This window comes from Homo sapiens, chromosome 8 (genome assembly GCF_000001405.40).
Source record: "Homo sapiens chromosome 8, GRCh38.p14 Primary Assembly".
Lineage (NCBI taxonomy): Eukaryota > Metazoa > Chordata > Mammalia > Primates > Hominidae > Homo > Homo sapiens.
This window is the reverse complement of record NC_000008.11, coordinates 19,833,726-19,861,398: the sequence shown is the minus strand read 5'-3', so window position 1 is coordinate 19,861,398 and position 27,673 is coordinate 19,833,726. Positions and strand designations below refer to the sequence as shown.

The 27,673-nt window shown below is 41.5% G+C and overlaps 1 protein-coding gene and 1 long non-coding RNA gene across 34 annotated transcripts in view, besides 3 other annotated features; both read right to left on the bottom strand.

The window, feature by feature from the left end:
• Window positions 481-1,207: an enhancer, noted in NCBI's record as "NANOG hESC enhancer chr8:19717703-19718429 (GRCh37/hg19 assembly coordinates)". NCBI's record gives its function as "activates a minimal SCP1, AML or CMV promoter by ChIP-STARR-seq in primed H9 embryonic stem cells {active_cell/tissue: H9 hESC(primed)}" and the evidence as "EXISTENCE:reporter gene assay evidence [ECO:0000049][PMID:30033119]".
• On the bottom strand, window positions 3,695-7,502 carry LOC124901901 (uncharacterized). The gene is made up of 2 exons (XR_007060843.1): window positions 6,286-7,502; window positions 3,695-4,143 (listed from the first exon to the last, which is right to left on the bottom strand). It is a non-coding gene; the product is annotated as an uncharacterized LOC124901901 (long non-coding RNA).
• Window positions 4,586-5,085: an enhancer, noted in NCBI's record as "H3K4me1 hESC enhancer chr8:19713825-19714324 (GRCh37/hg19 assembly coordinates)". NCBI's record gives its function as "activates a minimal SCP1, AML or CMV promoter by ChIP-STARR-seq in primed H9 embryonic stem cells {active_cell/tissue: H9 hESC(primed)}" and the evidence as "EXISTENCE:reporter gene assay evidence [ECO:0000049][PMID:30033119]".
• Window positions 7,503-9,331: 1,829 nt separating the features above from the next.
• The window catches only part of INTS10 (integrator complex subunit 10), a 34,652-nt gene continuing 16,310 nt past the window's right edge, over window positions 9,332-27,673 (bottom strand). For 15 of the 33 annotated variants that reach the window (NR_148452.2, NR_148451.2, NM_001353511.2 and 12 more), the window contains 6 exons: window positions 24,239-24,347; window positions 18,472-18,551; window positions 17,161-17,323; window positions 15,602-15,695; window positions 12,160-12,237; window positions 9,332-9,750 (listed from right to left, as the gene is read on the bottom strand). Coding sequence is in view for 24 of the 33 variants with exons in the window: in NM_001353511.2 (NP_001340440.1) it covers window positions 9,594-9,750; window positions 12,160-12,237; window positions 15,602-15,695; window positions 17,161-17,323; window positions 18,472-18,551; window positions 24,239-24,347 (681 nt within the window). In the remaining 9 variants the exon portion in view is untranslated. The other 18 variants (NR_148455.2, NM_001353512.2, NM_001353515.2 and 15 more) reach the window with 9 other exon arrangements.
• Window positions 17,371-17,470: an enhancer, noted in NCBI's record as "active region_27063". NCBI's record gives its function as "activates an Ori minimal core promoter by ATAC-STARR-seq in GM12878 lymphoblastoid cells {active_cell/tissue: GM12878}" and the evidence as "EXISTENCE:reporter gene assay evidence [ECO:0000049][PMID:35858748]".

Here is a 27,673-nt window from a genome sequence, read left to right as displayed (position 1 = left end):
TATCTCCTTATTTTAATCTCATAGAACACAATTCTACTGCCTTTATAATCAGAGATTATAAAATAACATGTTACCAAAAATGACAGATGTTACCAAAAAATAAAGGTTGAAATGACACATTGCATGGGATATATATTTGAATACATTTTAAAAAACATTTGTGTTAAATAACCACACCCCATGAAATCTGCTATCTTAATCATTTCTAAGTGCACAGTTCAGTGGTGTTGAGTATATTCATATTGCTATGCATCCCATCTCCAGAACTCCTCATCTTGAAAAACTGAAAGTTTATACCCATTGAACTAACAGTTTCCCATTCCCTTCCTTACCTGCTCCACCCAGCCAGCCCCTGGCAACCACCATTCTACTTTCTGTTTCTAGTCATTTGGTGATTCTAGGTGCCTCATATGAGTGGGATTGTATAGTATTTGTCTTTCTGTGACTGGCTTATTTCACCCAAAATAATGTTTCAAAGGTTTATCCATGTCATAGCATATGTCAGTGTTCTTCATTTTTAAGGGTATTTTACCACAAATTAAAATTAGGGGGTGGGGCAGAAGGACTGGATAGCATGGGAAAACCAATGAATCAATCATTCCATCTTAATGGCTTACAATAGAAACTTATTAAGCCATATGAAGGGGGAGAAAAATAGTCTCCCATCTTCTCTACTTAGCTCTTAGCTGATGGATCCCTGTAGCAAAAGACAGATTAACAAGACAAAAACAAACAAGCTTATTAAAATGTATATATCATATACATATGAGAGATACTCAAAAAATGAGTGATTATCAAAGAGGTAGCTTAGAACTCCAGCTTACATAGCAACTTCAACAAAGAATAACAAATGTTTTAGAATTGTGACAAGATAAAGGAAAGGGATTTTGAGCCTCCAGGGGCAAATAAATGGTTGACAAAGGAGAATTAGTAAAGCTTGTTATGTAAATTTCACTGGGTAGTCTCCAGGCTGATAAGGGTTTAAAGGTGTCTCTGGTGCTTAACCTTTGTCATTGGTAGAACGGGAAGGAGGGATACCCTTGTAAATTTATGTCCTGCTTTTAGACAAATAGAAGGAGGGCAGAGAGTTTTTCCTGTGTCTGTTTCTTCTCAATGCCTTCAACTCAAAATAATCTTTATGCTAAAAAGATATATTTTGAAGTGGTATATTCTGGTCTTTTACACATAAAAAGGAATAGAACACTGATACATACAAAACCATGGGTGAGCTGCAAAAACATTCTGTTAAGTGAAAGAAGCCAAACATAAAAGGCCACATGCGGTATGATTCCATTTATATAAAATATTCAGAATAAGCAAGTCGTGAAGACAGCAGACTGGTGATTGCCAAGGTATGGGGCAGGGGTCAAATGGGAAATGCCTGATTAATGGGTATGGGGATTGTTTAATGGGCATAAGCATTTCTTTTTGAGGTGAAGAAAGTGCCTTGGGATTAGATGGTGGTGATAGTTGCACAACTTTGTGAATAGACAAAAAAAATCACTGAACTGTACACTTTTTAAAGGATGAATTTTTATGGTATGCAGATTATATGCTAATTTTTAAAATGGTGTGATGGAAAAAATAGGGACATAAGGGAGACAGAGAAAGAGTTAACGTAGGGCATGGTTATGATTCTGACTGCTTTATTTGCTTTCCCTACTACTAACTGATACAGGCAGGAGGCAGACAAATTCCTAGGCAGTAAAACGTCCTCAGTGAATCCCAACCTTCAAGCTAAAAGACAACCTGAAGCCTGAAAACCAGGCTGCCAGTTTCAGGTAGAGTCCACAACCTAGAGTGAGAATGTCCTTGGTGTCTTTTAGCCAATCAAATGGTGCTTTTTTCTATTTTTTTTTCTTTTTTTAAATATATATATACTTTTATTATACTTTAAGTTCTAAGGTACATGTGTACAACTTGCAGGTTCGTTACATATGTATAAATGTGCCATGTTGGTGTGCTGCACCCATTAACTCGTCATTTACATTAGGTATTTCTTCTAATGCTATCCCTCCCCCATCCCGCCACCCCATGACAGGCCCCGGTGTGTGATGTTCCCCACCCTGTGTCTAAGTGTTCTCATTGTTAAATTCCCACCTGTGAGTGAGAACATGCAGTGTTTGGTTTTCTGTCCTTGCGATAGTTTGCTGAGAATGATGGTTTCCAGCTTCATCCATGTCTCTACAAAGGACATGAACTCATCATTTTTTATGGCTGCATAGTATTCCATGGTGTATATGTGCCACATTTTCTTAATCCAGTCTATCTTTGATGGACATTTGGGTTGGCTCTAAGTCTTTGCTATTGTGAATAGTGCCGCAATAAACATACGTGTGCATGTGTCTTTATAGTAGCATGATTTATAATCCTTTGGGTATATACCCAGTAATGGGATCACTGGGTCAAATGATATTTCTAGTTCTAGATCCTTGAGGAATCGCCACACTGTCTTCCACAATGGTTGAACTAGTTTACAGTCCCACCAATAGTGTAAAAGTGTTCCTATTTCTCCACATCCTCTGCAGCACCTATTGTTTCCTGACTTTTTAATGATCGCCATTCTAACTGGTGTGAGATGGTATCTCATTGTGGTTTTGATTTGTATTTCTCTGATGGCCAGTGATGATGAGCATTTTTTCATGTGTCTGTTGGCTGCATAAATGTCTTCTTTTGAGATGTGTCTGTTCATATCCTTCACCCACTTTTTGATGGGGTTGTTTGATTTTTTTCTTGTAAATTTGTTTAAGTTCTTTGTAGATTCTGGATATTAGCCCTTCGTCAGATGCGTGGATTGCAAAATTTTTCTCCCCAAATGGTGCTTTTTTCAGGCCTGCCCATGGACCAATTAGTATGCACTCCCCGATTCTGAGCCTATAAAACCCTCAGACTCAGCCACACACTGGGACTATCTGCCTTCAGGCTCCCTCTCACACAGACGGCTACCCACCTTGGGTCCCCTCTTGTTTTGAGAGCTTTTCTGTCACTCAAGACAATTCTTCCCAATCTTGCCCACTCTCTGGTGTCTGTATAGCTCATTTCTCTTGGATGCAGGACAAGGACATGGAGCCCACTGAATGGCAGGTGTGAAAAGAGCTGTAGCACTGTAGTCCTCCCACCCTCCACTGGTGCCAGATGGCTGCCCCATGTGACAGGAAGCGGTGACAGCAGAACTTGATCAGCCAAGGAGCCACAGGCCTGGGCAGGGCGGCAGGACCAAACAAGCTGGGACATGACCTGATTCGCCGAAGCTTGCAGATGATGGGAATGAATGAGCTGTAACGCAAATGAGCTGTAATGCTTCCTGAGGGCTCAAAGGAGACTTTGAGCCTAAAGTCCTAGCACTTTAGGAATCCCTGAGGAAAAGGCTGTAACACCCCTTGGGGCTCCGTGGTTGCTGGCATCTTCAAGCTTTCAGGCACTGCTGCATCCCCCTTATCCAGACATTGGCACCCAAGGCAGAAGCCGTTCAAGGCAGCCTGCAGACCAGTTGCAGGCTGAGTGAAGAGCTGGTGGGCATGGGATCCAGGCCAGGAGCACAAGCCGAATACAGCCTGCCAGGACAAGTGGGTGGAGGAAGCCAGGTGGTGAACCCAGAGCTGAGCAAGATCCCTGCATTGCCAGTCACAGAGGTTTCTGGCTGACACAGAGGCACCAAAAGGCTCCTGTGTCATAACCTTTGTGGAGATAAAGATCACCCACATGAGAACAACATTTATTAATCGAGAGCTCGCTCTCTATTGTAAGAGGCAGCCACCACAACAGCTTGTGCTTGGCAGAGACTCAAAGGCAGGCAGAGGAGTAGGAAAGCTTTATGGTAGGAAAAGAGGAGGGTGCATCCTGCTGGGAGCGGGCTGATCTGGGAATGGCTGGAAGCAGACTGACAAGAAGAGGTGCGTTCCACATGATCCATGAGGGTCAGTGTATTTGGCTTCCCCTGTTGACCCTAACTTGGAAGTGGGTGTCAAAAATGAGGGAGGGTCTGGATTCAGTCCTGAGCATTTGGAGCAGATCACTGTGGAGATGTGGATAGGCTCTCCAGGCTGGTGGCTGCTCACGGCCTTCCTGTGCTCACCAGTGAATTGAGACAATTCATTGGCCTGGAAACCCTCTTTATCATCTCTGGTCAACTGAATACCTTTCCTAGACAGAGAAACTTTATTCAGTATTTCTATAACAACTCCTATTGGTAATCATAGTAATAATTACAGTAACGATAAATAGCAATGACAATAATTACTTTTATATACTTATTAATATTTATAAAATTCTTATAATCTATACTTTAATTTACATTTCAGAATTTATATGACATACAGGGCGGGGCACAGTGGCTCACACCTGTATTCCTAGCCCTTTAGGAGGCTGAGGCGGGCAGATCACTTGAGGTCAGGAGTTTGATACCAGCCTGGCCAACATGGCAAAATCCCGCCTCCACTAAAAATACCAACATTAGCTGGGTGTGGTAGCATGTGCCTGTGGTCCCAGCTACTTGAGAGGCTGAGACAGGGGAATCACTTGAACCCAGGAGGCAGAGGTTGTAGTGAGCCGAGACTATGCCACTGAACTCCAGCTTGGGTGACAGAGCAAGACTCTCCCAAAAACAAAAACAAAATTTATATAACATATTTATGTATTATATAATTTATAGATAAATATTTTGTATTTTATATATAGTTTATGTATAATAAAGTTATATATTTATAGTACTTATATAATTATATATGTATTAATTACAATTGTTTATAAATAACAAAAATATTCTCATTACTATAAACCTCGTGAGTCACTCTCACACCTGACTCTGCATCCTGCACCTTCCAGCTGAGGACTCAGTCTCAGTTTTTAACCCTCTAGCTGCCCTTTCGCACCAACCCCGGCCCATTCCCACCCCCATTTCACCAGGCTCAGGTCTGGCCATCTGGGTGACCTTCATGGATTACATAAAAGCAGCCACCAGCTTGTTCCTGGCAAGGGATGCGAAAGTCTGTGTCCACAGAAGCCATCACAGGTGGTGAGGATACCCGGCCTTGGCTCCACTCACGTTGGGTCACATTTCTTGGCCCAAGGCTGGCGGAGAGTGCCCAGCGTGTGCCTGGCCTCCACCTTGGAGCTCCCTGGTTGGAATGGGTTGGAGGGGGCCGACCCCCACAGTCCAGGAGGCCTTGACTTTTTTTTTTTTCCAGAGGGCCCTGGGCCAGGGCCAGCTATGGGTGGGGGACAGTGGTGCCCTGCAAGATTGGACATTCTGAGCCCTGAACACTTCCTCCGTTGCCTCCCATTGGTGGAACCCTTTTGTGGACAGAGAGCTGTACTCAGCGTGTTTATTGCTCTAGCTACGACAACGAATAATCATAACAGCGATAGTTACAATCATGATGAGTGACAGTGACAAAAATAACTTCAGGCCTGGCATAGTGGCCCACACCTATAATCCTAGCACTTTAAGAGGTAGAGGTGGCCAGTTCTCTTGAATCCAGGAGTTGGAGACCAGCCTGGGCAACATGGTGAAACCCTGTCTCTATAAAACATTTTAAAATCAGTCGGGCATAATGGCATGTGCCAGTGGTCCCAGCTACTCAGAAGCTGAGGCAGGAGGATCGCTTAAGCCCAGGAGGCTGCCATGAGCCATGGTCGCGGCACTGCACTCCAGGGTGACTGTTACTCTGGGTGACAGAGCAAGACCCTGTCTCTAAAAAAATAAAAATAACTGTTCACGTTTATTTGTTTTTCACATGGATTTATCATTTATAACCCCTACAATTTATATTTAATGTTATAGAAGACTGTATTACAATTTCTGTGATTTCATATTTACAGATAAATATTTCTAATAACAATAACATTTTTCCCATAAACCTTGGGCCCCACCCCACCTGAGGAATGATTCTCTGTTTTACCCCCGCTGCCAGTCTGGGTCCCCGTGGGCCCCTCTCTAGGTTGGCCCTAGCCTCTCGTCTAAGGTGGCAGCCGGACAACTGGTCTCGACCCAGCAGCTCGAGGCCTTGAGCTAGTCCACTGTCTCAATGGGCTGTCCCTTGGCTACAGTCTAATGGGGACCCCTGGCCTAAGGCAGGCAGGGGCCTATCGATGTGAGTCTTTGGAGGTTGATGGACTGCAGAAGAGAGACCGAGCCTGGCAGACTGCTGGTCAACCCTGAGGATGCAGGGGGCTACCCATCCATCTCTGCTATCCCCACCGCTCCCCAACTTTGTCCCAGCCCAGGGTGCATCCTGGCAGGGTGGCGAGGAGGCGGGGCATTGAGTCGGGTTGCCAGGAGGGTACCTGATCACTGCCGCCCCACAGTGTGGCTCCGGGTCCGAAGTCCTAGGGATCGAGAGGGATGGATGCATAGATGCTTGGAGCCTCCATATGGGTGGACAAACCCTGGTGTCCAGGACTGACTTTCAATGGATTGCAGCGAGGGAGCTGTTCTGCTGCTTAGGAAACCCAGAGGCAGGTCTTACTAGCATCATTTTCCCCAGGAACCTGCATTTGGTGACGAGTGAGGGGCAGGTGTCTCTTTCTGGCAGTTCCCCTTTTCCCAGGAGGGACTCTACATCCAGATGGACCTAAGCGTAGGAGGAGGATGCTGTGCACGCAGGGTGCACCCCGCTGCCAGGTGAGGGGAATGTCTGGGACGAGATATCCAAGGTCAGTCAAGCCTCCTATGCACCGCTGTATCTTCTGCCTGCCTTAAGGTCATCCCGATGGTAGCTTTGCCTCATTCGTTACTCAGACAAGCAGACACCAAAAGCCTGAGCCTGCAGTTCCTTTGTTAGGGAGCAGGATTGCCATGGCAACAGTACATCTCCTGTAGGAGTCTAAATGTTACAGTGGTCCAAACCCAGCTCAAATGTTCCCTGTCACAGGGACTGGGAGCAAGAGTTGATTCCCTGAATGGATTTCAAAAAGCCAGCTCTTGGGTTCTTGAGAAAACAGCTCTGGGGGGTCACTTTGCATCTCAAAGGGCAAAGGATGTGTAATTGCAACCTTTTTAAAGTAACTATTCTAAGCGAGAGTCCAGGGGCCTATCTGCCTATCACCTGGTTTGGTCTGGAATAAATTTTGGTAGCATGGAGCTTTCTCAGGCAGGCATTTTAAGCGGGACTGGGGTCATGGCCTTAAGCTGCTGGTAGCCAAGCTAGAGTTTGGTCAGGTCTCTTAGTGCAGCGATTTGGATGGAGCCATTATGTGCTGAGAGGTCTGCAGTTTTCTCCCAGCTCCTTCTTTTTCTGCAAATTCAGTCTGAGTTTCCATTTTATTCTGTGGCCCTTTCCCTGCAGCCTCTTCACAGAGAAGTGGCACCACTGAATTTTAAAAAAGATGGTTAATCCTCTTTTAGCTAGTACCTACATTTTGGGGTATTAGAAAGTCTTGTTGTGATGTGCACTGCTCCTGAAACACTGAGCTGAGGAAGCTGTTCGTGATGGTTAATATTAGGTGTCAACTTGATTGCATTGAAGGATGCCTAGATAGCTGGTATTGTTTCTGGGTGTGTCTGTGAGGCTTTTGCCAGAGGAGATTAACATTTGAGTCAATGGATCGGGAGAGAAAGACCCACCCTCAAGCTGGGTAGACACCAGCGAGGGTAGAACAAAGTAGGCGGAAGGTGGGATAAGCTGACTTGCTGAGTCTTCTGGCTTTCATCTTTCTCCCGTGCTGGATGCTTCCTGCCTTTGGACATCAGACTCCAGGTTCTTTGGCCTTTGGACTCTTGGACTTACACCAGTGGTTGGTCATGGGCTCTCGGGCCTTTGGCCACAGACTGAAGGATGCACTGTTGGCCTCCCTGCTTTTGAGGCTTTTGGACTTGGACTGAGCCACTGTGGGCTTCCTTCTTCCTTGGCTCGCAGACGGCCTGCTGTGGAGCTTCACCTTCTGATCATGTCAGCTAATTCTCCTTAACAAACTCCCTTTCATATATACATCTATCCAATAGTTCGGTCCCTCTGAAGAACCCTAATAGTGTTAGAAAACCTAAAGGTGAGAGTGTTTAATTTGGGAGCTTTTAGGTGGCAGCACATCCCATCACTAAAAAAAGGATAGCTTATATATTTGTAATAAACTCATATTACACTAATAAACACTGCAAAACAAGCTAGTTGATATTTTTGAGATCAGATGTCTCTTATTTAAACCATCTTATTGATTTTAATATAGCTATAAAAAGGATCTTTATTTAGAAAAGATTTCTAAGACCTTTTATGCAGAGTAACTGCAAAACTTCTTAGCTCTTTCATTCTTAAATACTCCCTTGAAACAAATTTTATTGATGTTTGTCTTCTGTATAATTTCATGAAGAGCAAAAGGAAAATAAAATTAGCCTAATTAAAAAAAAAAATTAGCCTAATAGCTAATGTTGGCCAGCACTAACTACACTCAAGGCCCTCTCCCAAGCATTTCACGTGGAGCAACATTTCATCCTCCCAATAACCAGCAAGGGGAGGACCACTCAGCTCCGTTTTCAGACAAAGAGCTTGAGGCACACAGAAGTTACCTTGTCCACGGTCACATAGCAAGTAAGGGCAGGGCAAAGCCAGGATGCAAAGCCACACAAGGCCACCTGGCTCCAAAGCCCCTGGGTAGAAACCACTGGGCCACCCTGGCACAGCAGCAGGGACTTCCTGGAGCCAGACAGCAATGGGGAGGCTGCTCTGCCACACCTTGCCTCTCACCTCCACTTCCTGTCCTGGGCTTTTCAGCAGCCCTGAGCACCTCTCCTTCAGGGGACCATCAGTGGGAGAGGTCAGGCTCAAATTCATTTTTACATAAATGTTTTTGGTGTTAAAACTTCCCGAATGAGGCCAGGTATGGTGGCTCATGCCTGTTATACCAACACTTTGGGAGGCTGAGGTGGGATTGCTGGAGGCCAGATGTTTGAGACCCACCTGAGTAACATAGTGAGACCCTGTCTCTACATAAAATTAAAAAAAAATAGCTGAGCATGGTGGTGTATACTTGTAGTCCCAGCTACTTGGGAGGTTGGAGGCAGGAGGATTGCTTGAGGCCAGGAGTTTGAGGCTGCAGTGAGTTATGATCGTGCCACTGCACTCTAACCTGGGTGTAGAGTGAGACCTTGTTTCTAAAAAAGAGATCACCTGAATGAAAACGTCTAATATTATGTTGATATGCAATACCGACCAAAGCCTAACTATGGAAAATAAAATCTTAAGGTCATGGAAGACATATGTCTTTTAAGTAAGTATCTATATTAGTAAAATTCATTACTCAATTCAATTATGCTGGATTTTCCCCCTTGCTATATGCTTAGAAAAGAAGAAAAATGCACCCCTGTTCAAAAACTCATAAGAATTAAATTTTTAAAAACTTCAAATTTTAGGATGATTTTTATTTACAAAACAGATTGGTACTTTTGTTTTACAAAAATTACAAAAAATGACTCTTAAAAATAGAAATAGCTTCTCAGACTCTTGGGAACTACTTTTAAGCAACCAAGGAGTTAGAACTCAGATGGTTTTCTTCTTTGTAACAGCAACAATGACCACGGCTCTGTGCCATGGCAATCACTGCTGAGTGTCTTCTCCTACAATTACACAGGCCCGAGCTGTGTCTGGTGGAAAGGTCTCCACTCAGGTCAGAGTCTGAAGGAGCAAGATCTTCTCATTAATGCAGAACCTGTGCAGAACCACCATCAGATTCTCTCCACAGCGGGAGACCTGGCGCTCCATGGCCAGGCGAAAGTCCTCCTTCACGCCTTTGGTGATGCCTCGAGTTACAGTGTGGTGCCTGAGGTCAGCAATAGGGAAACAGACAAAGACCAGGGGTTAGCACCAGCATCGCTGATCGCTGCTACTTGGGTAGGAATAAAGCCTGCCCCATATCTAAGTATAATTTCAGATATTTTAAAAAGAACACAAGAATAGCTGCAACCAACCAAACATTCCAGCCCATTTCTCTTCAGAAAGACTTAAAACTAGACAGACATCTTTCTCACTCTATAAAAGGTTACTTCAAACATTTAATTGTTCAGTAAAATGCCACCTGCTTTGCCTTTGAATCAATGAAGCTCTGGTGTTATGCATCCCTACTGCTGACTGGTACACAATTCAGTTACTTAGGGCCAAATGGGTCCAGTCCACACTGGCTACAAAGAGCTCATGTCCAGCCCGGCCAGCAGACCCTCCAGAGGCAGCAGCAAGGAGGGAGGAGACCTGAATGAGCCAATCACCCAAGTGAGCTCCCACCATGGCCCCCGCAGCTGGTGCTCCCAGAAAGGTTCAGGGCTCCTGCACAGCCGGGGTCACAAGCACGTCTCTCTCCCCAGGACACCAGAATAGGGCAGCTCCTCTAAATGCTGTGCCCATCTAGACTCTCATATGTTGAAGAAAACGCAGCGGGAGGTGGGGTCCTGACACAAGAATGTGGCACAGGTCAGGAGAGAGAGGCAGAATCTCTGAGGGGCAGAGGGAGTGGACTGCGTGGTCCTGCGCTGTCTGGGCACTCAGGGGAGACCTGCACATGTGTGGAAGGGGTGGTGGGGACACAGGGAAAAATGTCTCTTAACTACACCCCAAAGGTTGTGCTTTAGAAAAAGAAATCACACATGAAATCCCAGGAAACGGAAGAAACAAAATGAAGAAACGAAAAGAAAAATCTAGCAAAAATCAGTCAGCTCAGTTAAGAGGAAGGGAGTTTTACCTACTAGTTCAGCAATTTGGTAGACTTAGACAAATAAAAGTCACCTCTGTTTCCCACCCTGATGCCTAATTTCCCTCACACAAAGTTATAAGGATTGAAAATGAAGATTTTTTTATGTTCTGGGCAAGATAAAAGTGTTAAAATTACTCTAAAATGTTTCTGTTTTTAAAAACTTGTATTAATGATCATATCAAATAAGGACAACAGGAGTCACCAAATTGTAAAACAACAGATGAAAAGAAAAAAAAAATCCAGCTTTGTTAGATAAGTAAAGCTATCACAGAACCTTCTAATGCCCATGGATGTTTTAAAGAACTACAGGGGAAAACAGCAGGGCCGTGGGGTAAATGCACACTTCTTTGTGACTATCTCTCGTCAAATCTGGATGGGTAGCTCAGTAGTTAGGACATAGCATCGGTGAGGTCCCGCTAGGATAGATGCAAACCATTTATGCTGCCCTGAGATACTGCTCTTCTGGGTCCCAGGCTGCAGCCTCAAACTGGAGCTGACCCTCTGACCAAGCGGAGGTTACTGGCACTTGCAGACAGTTAGCTAAAGGGCAAACCCTCCTTTTTTTTTCTTTCTTTCTTTCTTTTTTTTTTTTTGAGATGGCATCTTGCTATCTTGCTGTGTCACCCAGGCTGAAGTGCAGTGGCAATGATCTCAGCTCACTGCCACCTCTGCCTCCTGGGTTCAAGCAATTCTTGTGCCTCAGCCTCCCGAGTAGCTGGGATTACAGGCATATGCCACCAGGCCTGGCTAATAAACCCTGCTTTTAATACCACTAAAAATATAACTAAATGCTACATCCTGCAGATCAGGGTCCAATTTGTATTATCTCCATATATAAAGAGTGGCACAATTCAATTATATTTCTATTAGAAGCACTATCACTTTGGTAAGTTTGGATGAAAAAGAGAATTAGTAAGCTTTTGTGGTTTAAGAACAGGATAAACCAGCTAATAAATGTGGCATTTTAGCCTATCAAATATTTTCAATTCAGAAAGGTAAGGTCTGAAAAAACATCAGTAGCAGGAAAAAAAACACATTAGTGCCTATTTAGATACCAGGCAACTAATTGCTAATATGACCATAATGACTGGTCACTCATATGAGTATCCACAAATAAAAATGTACTTAAAATAAACGTCAGCATCCTTAAATATATATGACCGAAAGCCTTAACGTTTTATCAAAAGAGAATCATGGTGCACCTAAGCTAATGTGCACTTAATTGAATACAGATTTATATAGCTTTCATTGTTTTTTCCAGATCCATAATGATTTTTAAATCGAACACAAACACACTGGCAACTTATGGAAAAAAAATAAGAAATGTTACAATATTACAACCAGATGGTTTGCCAAAATGCGGAACAAATTAAAAAAGAAAGAAAGCATGAAAAAGAGCACTGAGGAACGAAGAGCTGAGAACCATGGGCAGCGAACATGTTGACAAACAGCACACTATGAGCGGGCGTTGATTCCACTTGGTACCTGTCAGCAGTCTGTATGCTGGGCTGAAGCACAGGTAAGAATTCCTGCTGCAGTAACCCCATGGGAGGGCTAGAAGGCCTTTAAAAAACAGCAAACAGCAGCATTCAAACACCCACACCGACTCACCCTGCACTGCAAAAACAACACTCCAGAGAAAATACACAAGACTAGAAGCAGACTAAACAGAAACTCATTAACCTCAACAAGCCCCTGGCCGTGGCTGGGTGTTTAAGGAGACTGGGGAGAAGCTAGCCAGCCCTCACTGCACCCGCTGCTGCTGGTGCGTGTCCAGAGGCGTCTCAGTTCCTGGTCCCAGAGCTCAGCCCCCTTTTGAGGTGGTATAAAAAGCGACCAGTGAGGAAGAGGATGATGGAATGCAGCTGAATGGCAATAGGGAGTAGGGGCAGCCTTTGAGAAGACACATTTTCAAAGCCAGCCTCTTTACTTTCCACTCTTCTCACGGTACACCAGTCCCAGCATTCAACCTGGTGATGTCTGGTAACCATCTTTAACAGGACTGAAGCCCCACCGGAGAGGCCCTTCCAAGAGGACTAAATGGTCTGGCAATGTTTTTGATTTAAAAAAAGGGTGAGTTTCAATTTCAAAAACGTATTGAGAACAGATGGGGGAAAATAAGAGTCCGGGACCCATGGCTGTGCAGAATTCTGTAACAACAAAGATTTAGTGTATTAGCTGGTGATCACCTCATAGAACATTATTATCCACCCTATTCAGAGTATAAGTAGGACATTGTTTTCCATTTTAATCCACTCTAATACAACTAAGATACTGCATTTATCAGCACAGAAACATTTCTCTATTTTAAAATACTTAAGAGCAAAAGGTCTGTATAACAGATTAAGAGCTTCTCCCTCCTTTGAGTGAAGCACCGGGTGCCCTCAGTGTTGGTACTGTACCTGCTTGCATCCCAGATGCCACAGCTAGGGCAGACTCACAGCCTTACCCCCGGGGAGAAGTGTACACTGCTCACAACATCTCTGCCACTCATCTGGAGGGACCACCCAAAAGGTCTGTAATGGCTTCAGAAAACTTGTTTGGAACCCAAAGGGAAAAGGAATTCAGATTGTTTAATAAAGATTCCAACCATTCCTCAGTTAGGAAGAGCTCTCTGGCTTAAGCAGTGTGCTTTCTACCATGTTAATTTAGGCATAAGTAATTAACCTTGAGATTCACACAGTGAAGACTGGGCAAATCCCTACGAGGTCAGATCACTAAGGAATAATCCCTATTCCTGCTTCCAAACTGATGAAACTGCAGCCTTCCTAAGAGGCTTGTCTTCTATAGAAAGTTAGAAGAAATTAAGGGTTGTATTGATCAAGGTGGGAGACCCTGGAGTTCTCCCTCACTAGTTAGAAGTGCATGATGGGTATCCTTTACACAAACAACTCCAAACACTCTTCCCTGTGATACTAGCTGGTACCCAACACTCCCCTTGCTCTCATTCCTCATCCTAGGGTTTGTCCACTTGGACTTATGTCACTCTTCAGCTCAGTAAAAACTGGTAGAAGAAGAAAGGTTCAGTACAATGAAGTCTGAGGTTCAACTGTTGATTTTTTGACAATCCATCTCTCACACCTGCACTAACAGTTAGGCATTATCTAGGTAAAGTGATAATCATCTGCAGGTTTAATCCTATGTACACAGACTTCGGTTCCACTATGGCTGTCTCTATATTAACTCGTATAGTGACTGCTGATGGGAATTAACTAAAAAGCTTGATTCAGGGTGTATTTGTATATCCAGTTTCAAAGTCTAGAAAACAAATCACAATACAAAAGGGGTTACCTGGGCTTCCGTATCCAAAGGTAATCTTTATCCCCAAACACTGTTAAGAATATTTTGAACAACATAGTTATTCTTCCCAAAGTTTCGATTCACGATCTTAGAAAAGTAAATGGGGATTGGAAGATGCCAGTCCTTGTCCATCCTGCTTAAGCAAACCAATGCAGAAAGGTCTCGTGTATTTTTAAAAAGAGCACTGTTCTTTTATTTTAAAAGTTTATAATTTAATAACACTTATAAGATGAAGGAGAAAAAACCACTTAATCTTTCCATTCTTGAGAATGGAGTCCACAAGACCCTATTCTTGCTAGACACAAAAAGAAATGTTTGCTACCAGCAAACTACTGAGGTTACAGAAATCTAAAATGAACATTTCTTACTTCTTTCCCTAGGCACTTCTAAGACTATCAAGATAGAACAAGATGTGGATTTTTGCTTTCAACCACTGAAAACTAGTTTATTCCACAACTGAGGGAAAAAGAAAAATGTTTTTAGTTTTAGCAGTACTTTCTTCTCATTCAGGATTCAGTCTCTTGCAGAAACTCTAACACTGACTTACAGACACACTGAATGTGCAGGAAGCAAAGGAGGAAGTATGAAAATAAAACTACACGTGGCATTTACAGCAGAGAGGATATATTACCCAAACTACAATGAGGATTGAAGGAGAGAAGCAAGATTTATGAGCTATTTAAAAATCATAAATGGTCACTAATTTGGCATTTTCATCTGGGCCAACCCGGAATTTTAGTAACATCTTGTGAGTTCAGGGGAGCATGGTGGAGACCAACCACTCCCACCATCATTTCTTGGGACAGGTGTGTTCTTAGAGGCACTATACCTGGCTATTAATACTTCGTTGTTATGTAAGTCATGAGGACTGCATAGGAGGGCTTCATAGGTAGTTTATAAATAAAAAGTCTGTAGTTTTTCCTAAAGAATTTTTCTAACCCAGCACAATTTTAATTAAGCACAGCTGTTTTGTTTGTTTGTTTTTTTTTTTGAGATGGAGTTTCACTCTTGTTGCCCAGGCTGGAGTGTAATGGCGCGACCTCGGCTCACTGCAACCTCCACCTCCTGGGTTCAAGCGGTTCTCCTGCCTCAGCCTCCCAAGTAGCTGGGATTACAGGTGCCCACTATCATGCCCACATAATTTTTTTTTTTTTTTTGTATTTTTAGTAGAGACGGGGTTTCACCATGTTGGCCAGGCTGGTCCTGAATTCCTGGCCTTAGGTGATCTGTCCTCCTTGGCCTCCCAAAGTGTTGAGATTACAGGCGTGAGCCACCATGCCTGGCCACACAACTGTTCTTAATTAAAGGCACTCTGTGACTAATCAGAAACTTATAGACTCACCCTATAAATTTTTGAAAGTAAAAGATATCATGAATGAGACTTTTGTCTAGTGAAAAAGTTGCAAATGTGACAAAAATACCCCAATTTAAGCAAAGTGTTTTAAGAAATGTAGTTAAGGAAATGCAAGTTTTTCAAAAGGTACCCAGAATCAAACTATCATAACAGAGACCAGGTTTAAAGTCCTTTGTATTAAATTTTTGATAGGTATAGACATTTACAAATACTTCATACAAAGACACAAAAGGTGAGCACTCAGCATGGAAGAGCAAAAGAGAACATGCTTACTTGATCAGCATTCCTTGATTGGGTAGTAATTCCAGATGAATTTTCCCACCTTCCTGAGTTCTCAAGTAGGCAAATTCCTCCAGCATATCAATATCTGCAGGCCAGATTCAGGTTAACCACATGTAAAAAAAGGTGCTAGTTTTCTCTGATGAGGAAATGGGGTCTCGGCAGTTGAGTAACTTGCCCATTGCCATCCCACTAAAAAAGGTGCCAGTTCTCTCTGATAAGGAAATGGGGTCTTGGCAGTTGAGTAACTTGCCCATTGCTACCCCACTAACTGCAGACTCCATATTTGAACCCAGATCTGTCTGATGCCAAAACCTGATTCTTATACCCACTAAACTCCCTCGCACAGATAACTCTTGGCATGAGATGTGCCAGGCTAAAGAGCATGAGGACAACATGTTTTCCATATCGATAATAATTAATACTACATGGTCACAAGAGCAAAATTTTTTTGTTTTCTTAATAAGAAATGAAAGAGGAGGTGAAAGTAGGGAGGATTCTTTGGTGTTACAGAACATAAAATTCATAAAAATCAAGTGATTACTTCTTCATAACTGGGGTGCAAGGGTTTATAGATGCATCAGAGGAGGAAGCTTCTGTGAGTCACCCAAATTTTATGCAATATGTCGATGACATTCATGTATGCATTTTTCTAGTGAAAAATTATGTAACTTTCATTAGATTCTCAAAAGATATCTGTCCCAAACCATGGTTAAAAACTATTACTTTGGCCTGGTATGGTAGTGCACACCTGTGGTCCTAGCTACTCAGAAGGCTGAGGTAGGAGGGTCTCTTGAGCCCAGGAGTTTAAGACTGCAGTGAGCTATGATCACACCACTACACTCCAGCCTGGGTGACACAGCAAGACCCCAACTCTAAAAAAAAACAAAATAAAAATAAAAACTATTGCTCTGAGCACCTGAACAAGAATATCATTTATATTCCTTGCAATTCAGAAATAATGTAATAAGATAAACAATGAAGTAAAAACACCCAAATTGATAACTAACCTTTAATTCAAAGGTCTTTCCCTAATAAGCAGTGTGAAATACAGCATTACCTAATGTCAGAAGCAGCTACTGTGCTGTGCAGCATCTCTGGTGGGTACTCATTGGTAGGTAAGACAGCTATGGCAGGGTGCCCTAACAAGTGATTGCAGGGCACAGCCACTGTCCCCAGAGGCTACAGGAGGCATTCTTTTGACAGATGGAAGAAGAGGAACTATTAGTATTATATTCCTTGACTAAACCGGGCAAGCTGGACCTATCAGCAACCTGTAGGCTATTACTGGAGGCATTTTGCGTACCTTCTTAGAAGTCACCTAGCAGTGGAAAATGGAAGAGGGTTGTAAGATTCCCAATTCCTTGAATCATGTCTTTCACGACTTTCAGAAGATCAACTGCCACAGCCCCAGTTTTAATCCCCATTCCTTCTCTTCGCTGCAAAATAGTAAAAATCATTATTTCTATCCAGAATGGTTCATTCTTTTTCTATCATGTATTCATTCTAAAGAAAATCAGAATGTGTTATGCTTAAACAAGAAAAAAGGATACTTGTAACGTAATTGAAAAAATTCTCATATTGGAAATTTCCTTGTTGGCAAATTTTATTGACAGCTTTCAGGAAAAGATTCTCGCCCCGTGGCCACTCTTGCTGAAGCAACACAATCACATGCCCCAATGCCATGTCGTCTCTGTTGTCTGTGAAAGCTCTAAGCTGCAAGACAAAGATTTATACAAGACAGAAGGAAAAGGAAGTCACAGGGTAATCTGAAATACAGCAAACATCACTTTCCAAAAATATGCTGTATATGCAAATGTGTGATAAACGTCATTAGAGTAAGAAGGAAACAAAGGCACAACGAAATGGCTGGTAAACATCACAGCTGCCTTCTAAGGAGGGTGGATTCTAACCAAAGAAGCCTCAGGCTCCCTCTGCACAGCTGCTGGCAGTGTGTAGATGGCAGTTGGACATGGGTGGGCCTGAAGCTTTTGCATATGAGAATCAGGGGCAGAGAACTCTGATTCATCCTGTGTAATGGAGAAATAAATCTGAAGATTTCTTTGAAAGGGAGCAGATGGGAGTAGGTGGGCAAGAGGCCATCCAGGAGAGAACTGTTTGTAGAGAACATGGGATTGCAGAGAAGGAAAGGTGGTGAGCCACAAGGAAATAAGCAGAAGTGTGAACTAAAGAAATGGTCAAAACAGTTTTTGTTTCAAATGAGCGGTTATGCATAAAATCACACTTTAAATTGTTTTTGTTGCCCTAAAAAAGTGATATGGATGATGAGTTAAGTGGGAGTTACTGCACTGAAGTGGAGACCCAATGTTTTACTCTCTGGCCAACAAACCTTCCAGAAACAATGAAGCCTCCCTGCTCTAAGGCTCTGCTCTACCTGTAGCCAAGGGCCTTGGCGTTCTTTCAAGTCCCGGAACTTTCCCAACTGTTGGGCTGTTACTGGTGTTGATCTCAACACCTAACATGCTTAATCTAGCACATCTTTACAATGACAAACTCATCATCCCTCCATGAACCTAACCGCAATTTGTATTCCCTTTCTTTGTAGCTAATATATTTATATTGATAAAATATTTACCAAACACTACAACAGTCAAGGTTATTTGCATATCTGTCCCACTATTACACTTTTTGAGGACGGGGAGAACTTCCTACTTCTCTTTGCCTAGCGCAGTCATTATTTAATATAGATTTGTTAATTAGTAGCCCATGTGCTTTTCTAACTGTTTGGGCCTGCCCTCAAAAGTACTAAAATAACAATCCTTAGCAAGGTTCTCAAGTTCTCGAGTCATGAGAATAATATTTGAAATTACATTTTTTTTCAAGCTAATCAACTTTAAGCTTACCTTAAAACAGGCTAACATTAAATGGAGGCAGTATGGCATGATAGCCTTGCTGGTACAAGGCAGGAGCTTCAGATCCGAACCTAACAGAAGTCCACAATGTTAGGTTAATGTATGTTATTATCAAAGATAACAGCTTTGAAAGGCAACTGTTTAAGATGCTTTCATTAACAACAACAAAAAAGAGAATATGCAACAGTCACACAATTTCAATTATATTTGAAACACAATTATACTTTGTGATGGTGAAATTGGCTTTTGATGGTCTCTAGATTTCATTTATCAATATTCTTTCCTAAACTTGCTTAAATACTTTTTATGAGAAAACATTTCAAATATACACAAAGTTATATAGAGAGAATATAACACTGGTGTGCTCACCACTCAGCTTCATGAAATGTTAATATCTTAATTTTAAACATTTCTAATATCAATAATCACAAAATCAGTTAAAGCCTATTGTGTATCCTTCTCTGATCCCATTCTCTTCCATCGCAGAGGTCGCCATAATTCTGAAGGCAGTGGTTGTCATTCCTATGACTGTTACACACGTAAACAACAATGGATTGTTCTGCATGCTTTCAGTCTACTATATAAATGGTGTCATTTTGTATGTATCCTTCTGCAAATTGCTTTTTTTACTCAACTTCATGTGGTTCAGATTTATCAACTGGTCAATATCAATACACATAGCTCTAGTTCATTCATTTTCAGTGTTATATAGTATTCTGTTGTCTGCATTCCTTTTACAGAGGATATTGACATTTCCAATTTTTCACTATTACAATGATAAATATACATTCTTACATATTCTTGTACATTTGTGGAAATAACTTTAAGCAATAGCTTTCAAAGCAAAATCCCAATCTTTCCTTTCTGGTCTGTGTTCTTTATGTCTGTTATCTTTCTCTACTCAGAGGCAAGATAGCAAGAAATAAATATTTTTCACATGGGATCCTGTACACACATACTTACATAATGTGATAGATCCAAAACAAAAGGTGCATGGAATAACAGTCTCTCTTCTTGTCTGAGATGTCGTCTTAAAATATTATTGAATTCTATCTCATTAAAAAAGAAAATTTCTGGTTGAAACTCATGACCCTGTAAATGAAAACTCACAGCTTGAAAAACACTCATCTAAGGTATACAACTAGGACGCGAGGTACATTTAATAATTAGGTAATGACATGTTCAACTTGGTCATGGGAAGTTGGTTTCCAGAATGGTTGCATGACTTTATACACCTTCCAGAAGCACGTGGCACTGTGTTCCTTCACATCCTCTTCAATTTTTGCATTCTGATGTGTGTGAAATGGTAGTTTATTGTTTTATTCTGAATTGCCCATATGACAAAAGGTTGAGAATCTTTCCAAATAGTTTTTGGCCATTTGGATTTCTGCTCCTGTGAATCTGTTCTTCCTGTCCTTTGCCTATTTTTCTATGGGGATTGGATAATTGCTTCCTATTGGTCTGAAGGAGCTCTTTCAAAACTCTAGATACTAAGTTTTTGTTGATTTTGTGTGATAGACAATTTTCTGGCAGCCTATGCCTTATCTTTTCACTTTGATTGTAACAGCCTTTGTTGGTATTTTAATTTTAATGTGATCAAATTTACTAATCTTTCTATTTTTAAATTTTCTTCTAAAAGTTTGGAAGTTTTGGAGTTTTTGCTGTCACATTTCAACCTTAAAATTTAAAGGATGTCTATGTAGTGTGAAGGAGGGGATCTCATTTTTTTATTGTCGTTTTTTACATTTGGATAATAAATTGTTCTAGTACCACTTATTGAATAAATTCATTCTTCCCCCACTGAATTTTAATGTCATCTATTTCTCAGTTTTCTATGCTGTTCCACTGGTCAACCCCTGTGCCAATACTACCCTGTCTTAAATTACTAAAGCTTTAAAATAAGTCTTGAAGTCAGCTAGGTCAGTCCTATCCACCTAATCAGTTTCTGGAAGGTATATAAAGTCATGCAGCCACTCTGGAAACTAACTTAGCATTACCAAGTTGAACATGTCATTACCTAATTATATGCCTTGCCTCCTAGTTGTACACCTTAGATTAGTGTTTCTCAAGCTGTGAGTCTTCATCTACAGGGTCATGAGTTTCAACCAGAAACTTTCTGTTCTGCAGAAATACTTAATTTTTGAAGAAGTCTGGGCTAGATTTTTTTTTTTGACCATTTGTTATAGAAAACTTCAAACATATACAACGTAATCTGCTCCAGCACCATTGGTTGAAAAGTCTTTCCTTTCCTTATTGAATTACTTTGATGCCTTCATCGAAAATCATTTGATCAAATCTATGCAGGTCTATTTCTGGATTCTCCATTCTTATGTCGATATTTTGTCAACTCTGTCTTGATTATTATGCTTGTATATTAAGTCTTGTTATTATGTAGTATAAGTCACTTAATTGTGTCTTTTTAAAACCTGTTTTGACTATTCTAGATTATGTAATATTTCCACTTACATTTTAGAATCACTTTGTGAACTTCTAGCAAAAAACCACCAAAAACCGTAAAGTCTGCTGTAATTTTGCTTGAAATTGCATTGAATCTACAGATACACGTGGGGAGAACTGGCACCATAATAATATTGAATCTTCTGATATAGAAACATGATCTGTCCATTTTCAAAAATCTTTAATTTTTCTCAGAAATGTTTTCTGATATTCAAAGTGGAGGTTTTGCATATCTTTCATTAAATTTACCTCTAAGTATTTTATGTTTTTTTGATGCTATTAGAAATAGTATCTTAAAAAATTCATTTTCTAATTGCTTATTAATAGCATACAAATTGAATTGATTTTTTATACACTAAAACGTCTTGGAATTTTTTTTTTTTTTTTTTTTTTTTTTTTGAGACAAGGTCTCACTCTGTCGCCTAGGCTGGAGTGCAGTGGTGCAATCTTGGCTCAATGAAACCTCCACCTCCCAGATTCAAGTGATTCTCCCACCTCAACCTCCTGAGTAGCTGGGATTAAAGGTGTGTGCCACTATACCTGGCTTATTTTTGTACTGTTAGTAGAGATGGGGTTTCACCATGTTGGCCAGGCTTGTCTCAAACTCCTGGCCTCAAGTGATCCACCTGCCTCGGCCTCCCAAAGTGTTGGGATTAGAGGTGTGAGCCACTGCGCCCAGCCTTGGGGATTTGTGGAGATTCCCTCAAGTTTTCTACATAGCCAAATATGTAACTGTGTTGGGTTTTTTGTTTTTGTTTTTTGAGACAGGGAAATCTTTCTCTGTCACCCAGGCTGGAGTGCAGTGACACAATCATAGCTCACCACAGCTTTGACCTCCTGGGCTCAAGCGATCCTCCTGCCTCAGCCTCTAGATAGCTGGAACTACAGGTGCACACCACTAAGCCTGACTGATTTTTAAATTTTTTGTAGAGACGGGATCTCACTTTGTTGCCCATGCTGGTTTGGGCTCCTGGGCTCAAGCAATCCACCTGCATCAGCCTCTCAAAGTGCGGGGATTACAGGCATAAGCCACCATGCCTGGCCAAATATGTAACTGTGAATAAAGGTACTCATATTTGTCAGATCTTTATGCCTTTATTCACTTTTCTTGCCTGCTGTACTGCCTAGAATCTCCAGATTATTGAACAGAAGTGGTGAGGGCAGACATCCTTGTATTGTTTCTAATCTTAGTGGGGGAAAGCATTCAATACTTCATAGTTAAGTTTGATGTTAAAAAATAGTTTCCTTCTATTCCTAGTTTGCTAAGATTTTTGTTATCATGAACTGATATTGAATTCTGTATGCATCTACTAAGACAGTCATGATTTTTCTCCTTCTGTCTGCTAATGGAGTGAATTACACTGATTTTTGTTTGTTTGGTTTTTTTTTTGAAACGGAGTCTCACTCTGTCGCCCAGGCTGGAGTGTAGTGGCGCAATCTCAGCTTACTGCAACCTCCGCCTCCCGGGTTCAAGCGATTCCCCTGCCTCAGCCTCCCGAGTAGCTGGGATTACAGGTGCCTGCCACCAGGCCTGGCTAATTTTTTGTATTTCTTAGTAGAGATGGAGTTTCACCATATTAGCAAGGATGGTCTCTATCTCCTGACCTCGTGATCCTCCTGCCTCGGCCTCCCAAAGTGCTGCAATTACAGGCATGAGCCACCATGCCTGGCCACTGATTTTTGTATGTTCAAACGCCTATGCATTCCTGGTATACCTGGTCATAATATATTGTCCTTCTATATTGCTGTATTCAATTTGCTAATATTTTGTTAAGGATTTGACACCTATTATAATTCATGATGGATACTGGCCTTTAAAGTTCTTTTCTTGTGATACTCTTGTTTGGTTTTACTATCAGGGTTATTGTGTCAGCCTTTAAAAATGAATTGGGACTCTTCCTCTATTTTCTGATAAGAGTTTGTGTAGAATTGGCACTATTTCTTCCTAAATTCTTGATAGAATTCACCAGTAAAGCCATTTGAACCTGAATTCTTTGTGGAAGGTTTTTGATAACAAATTTAATTTCCTTAATAGCTAAGGGAACATTCTGATTTATTTATTTTCTTTCTTTCTTTCTTTCTTGAACATTCTGATTTCTTTTCTTTCTTTTTGAGTCTGGTTGTGTTGACCAGGCTAGAGTGCAGTGGTGTGATCTCGGCTCACTGCAACCTCTGCCTCTCAGGTTCAAATGCTTCTCCCACCTCAGCCTCCTGAGTAGCTGAGACTACAGGTGTGTACCACCACACCCGGGTAATTTTTATATTTTTAGTAGAGATGGGGTTTCACCATGTTGCCCACACTGGTCTCGAACTTCTAGGCTCAAACGATCTGCCATCCTTGGCTTCCCAAAATGCTGGGATTACAGGCATGAGCTACTGTTCCTGGCAGAACATTCTGATTTTCTGTTTATTTTTTGTGTCAATTTTGGTAAATTGTGTTTAAGAAACTTTTTCATTTCATCTAAGTTGTTAAATTTATTGGCATAAAGTTTTTCATAATGTATTCCTTTACTGTCCTTTTGATTTCAGTAGGATTTGTAGTGACACTCCCTTTTTCATTTCTGATACTGGTAATTTATGTTCACCTTCCTCCTTATCGATCTTGTTAGGGGGTTATCAATTTTATAATATTTTTCAAAAAAAAAACTTCCAGTTTTATTAATGTTCTCTATTTTGTTTTCTATTTCATTGACTTCTGCTCTTAGCATTATTCTTTCCTGTCATCTATTTTCTTCAAGTTTAATTTATGTATCTTTTTCTAACAAACTCAGATCAGCTGTACATTTCATTTTTCAAGCAACACGAAGCTTGAGCTGAAGCTCAGAATGGTTTCAGAGGGATGTGCTGACAGATACCTCCTAATTAATCATCTACACATTTTTCTAGAATTGTAAAGACAGGAAAAAGAGTTCACTGAAATTTGTCAAAGAGATAACACACTCAGGAAGTGAAGAGAGCTTTGGAAGAAAGACATTTACAGCTGCTCATGAAATCAGAGCCAAGGAAAAACTTGGAAAGGGATTAACTTTTTATACAATTTGGCAAGCCCTGCAGCAGTATTATCTCATTAGGAACTGTAAAACATTGTTCAGCCTTGGGTCCTAAAACTATTTTTCTTTTCTTTTTAAAATTTTTTAAGAGATGGGGTCTCACTACATTGCCCAGGCTGGTCTCAAACTCCTGGGCTCAAAAGCTATCCTCCCGCCTCGACTTCCGAGTAGCTGAGATTACAAGTGTGAGCCACCGTGCCTGGCTTTCTAAAGCTATTTTTACAAAATAGTCATAAAACATGTCACTGTACCTTTTCTAAATTTGGGCTTTACTTTCGAGGGTTCCTCCTGGGATTTGCCTCCATCTTGAATGGGGAGTACCATGTAGCACATCAAATCAAGGACTTTTTCACATGTCATCTAAAGCAGAAAAGACCAAAAAGGAACTAACTTGAAGCTTTCTGAACTGAAATCAAATAAAGTACCAAAATATTTGCAGCATACAATCAGGCAATGTGTACATGGAAGTCTGTATTTCTACCTCTCTATGTGATCATTACCATTGCTCAATAGTGAATACAGAAAGAGTAAAGAATAAGACTCAAAGCTATGTACTAGACTTTAGAGGGAACACTAATCCATTCTTTGCTATTAAAAAAACAAAACTTAAAAATTAACCAAGCATTAAGTACTGAGGTGTTCAACAGCACAGCAGCAGCCAAAAGAAAGATGTCCCTGCCTGAAAGATACTGACTAACTCACTGCATAGAAAAACTAACAATAAAAAATGTAGCAGAGGTCTAAGGAGTATGATATAGAGCATAACTTAAAATGCAGGAGAAAATACACACAGGAGAAACTAGCAAGAAAAGCTTCAGGCAGGAAGGTTATCTTGACCTAAGCCTTAAAGAGAGGAAGGATTTGGAATGCAGAAAAGACGCCTTTCAGGCAGGAGAGAAAGACATGGGGAAGGGCTATATATGGGTTTAGGTGATTTACTTGAGGGCCAGCGGTTTGGTCTAGGACACAGATGAGACACTGGACGGATGCACTGCTGGTGGAGAGGAGCCTCGAGTGCCTCTGTGCAGGCTGCCCTTGATCCAGACAGTCTGCATCACCGCTCCCTCTCTATCTACTCAAATTCTCCTAACAACAGTCAGATTCCATGCAATGAGCCTTTTATCTGTGTCAAGCAAACCCTTTTGTTCTCTATTTTCCAGAGGAGGAATTGGAGCTTTTTTTTTTTCTTCTTTTATGCAAAAGGCCAGAGACATCTCTGGGTCTCTAGGTAATTTTTTATTTATTTATTTATTTTTGTACTTTAAGTTCTGGGATATATGTGCCGAACGTGTAGATTTGTTACATATATGTGTGCCTTGGTGGTTTGCTGCACCTATCAACCCGTCATCTAGGTTTTAAGTCTTGCATGCCTTAGGTATTTGTCCTAATGCTCTCCCTCTCCTTGCCCCCGACCCCCTGACAGGCCCCAGTGTGTGATGTTCCCCTGCCTGTGTCCATGTGTTCTCACTGTTGAACTCCTGGAAGTGGGGATTTAAACCCATGCTTCCCGACCCTTTTCATGTTGTGGCACATCCTGAAAGTAACCTGTGTGTGGCTGCTCAGGGTTGGCAGCAATTGACCTTGGGTGGCCCCAGCAGCCCTAGGTCATGGCTGACTGCCCCAAAAGCTGCAGGATCCATATATTGGCACCTCTAGAACCCACCTATGCCCACAGGGTTGTGAAGCTCTAGTTTAGAGAGATGAGCAGCCTGGTAGTTGAAAACTTGAACTCTGGAGTTGGATAGGCCTGGATGAGGTAACCTACCGATGTCACAGAGCTAGCCAGGACTTGTACTCCAGAGCTATGAGCTGCCATCCTTCGATGCCCATCTCCAGCCAATCTTTTCTATCAATCTTTCCTTGAGTCGTCTTTGGACCCAACAAAGAAAACACCCTTCCCTGAATGCCTATTGTGCCTATGACTGAGGACTATCAACTAATATTTGTTTTTTTCATTGTCTTATACAAACACTTATACTTTTTTCCCTAACTCAAACCATGTGCCCCTGAATTCAGGGTTCCCATATTCCCCACACCCTGCTTCTACTCCCCAGCCAACAGCGGGATTCAACACTGAGCACCAAGAAAACCAATACTTCAATTAAGTAGAAGGATGAAAGCAGTATTTTAGAAAGCAACGATTATAATTTTATAGGGTTGGAAAAAGGGTGATAGGCCAAAAACTTAGTTAAAAGGCATGGATTAGGGTGGTGACAATAGAAATACAAGGTAATATAGCAAAGAGATTAGTATCACACTGGAAGAATCAAAAGGATTCGCTAGAGTAAGAGTCCACCAAGACTTGAAAGTTTTGTGTCTAAGGGCCAGTACTATGGTCTGAATGTCTACATTCCCACCAAAATTTGTATGTTGAAACCTAACCCCCAATGTGAGGGCATCAGGAGGGACAGCCTTTGGGAGGTGAGTAGATGATGAGAGCAAAACCCTCATGAATGGGATTCGTGCCCTTATCAGAGCGACTCTACAGTGCTCTCTTGTCCCTTCTATGATCCGGGAAGCAGGACCTCACCAGACACTGAATCTGCTGATGCCTTCACCTTGGACTTCCCAGCCTCCAGAACTGTGAGGAATGAATTCCTATTGTTTACAAGCCTCCCACTTTATGGTATTTGGTTATAGCAACCCAAGCAGACAAAGACAGCCAGAGAACTAAGGACACTTACATCTGGACATATTGAGTCTGGGCTAAAGATGGGAAGTCAGGAATCAGGTCAGTCTGACACTGCCCATAGGCCTAATAGTGATGTACTCAGAGGTTGGAACTAAGCCCTCAAAGGAAATGAGTCTGTCTTGTTTAAGTTAGACAAGTCTGTCTTGTTCAGTAGTTTATATTCCCTACTACAATGAAGTTAGTATGCAGTATAGCTAATTCTACTTGAGATATGTATGTCGGTGTGAGTAAATACGTGCTGCCTTTTAAGTTCTTAAAAGGAATTAATTAAAACTTAGAGTTAAGTAACTGATGGATAATTATATAAATAATGGTGGAAAAGCATTTTCAATTTTGAATGCTTTACACATTCTCCAATTGTTCCTTTCTAAAGATCATAATGACAAATTAGTAATCATATTTCAAAGTTCAAGTTAAAAAACATTTAGGGATTTTAATCACAAAGTGATCAACAACATATAGAGGGCTGAGAAGAAATCAGTTTGTGTTATGCTGTGGCCTTGAGTTTATACAGTCCTTGCATACACAACAACACGGTTATCATTTTAACTGAATTCAAACACTTATTGTACTGTGGTAGGTGTCATGAGAGTTCAAAGATAAAAACATAGTCCCCACCCTGTAGTAGGAAGGGCTTGAAACCTCCTGGAGGAAACACACCCATTTATAAATCTGCCCCTATTGGGTATTATCACCATTTTTTTTTTTTTTTTGAGACAGAGTCTGGCTCTGTCACCCAGGCTGGAGTGCAGTGGCACAATCTTGGCTCACTGCAACCTCCACCTCCCAGGTTCAAGTGATTCTCCTTCCTCAGTCTCCCAAGTAGTTGGGATTACAGGTGCCCACCACCACACCCAGCTCATTTTTGTATTTTAATAGAGATGGGGTTTCACCATGTTGGCCAGGATGGTCTTAAACTCCTGACCTCAGGTGATGTGCTGGCCTCAGCCTCCCAAAGTCCTGGGATTATAGGTGTGAGCCACCACACCCGGGC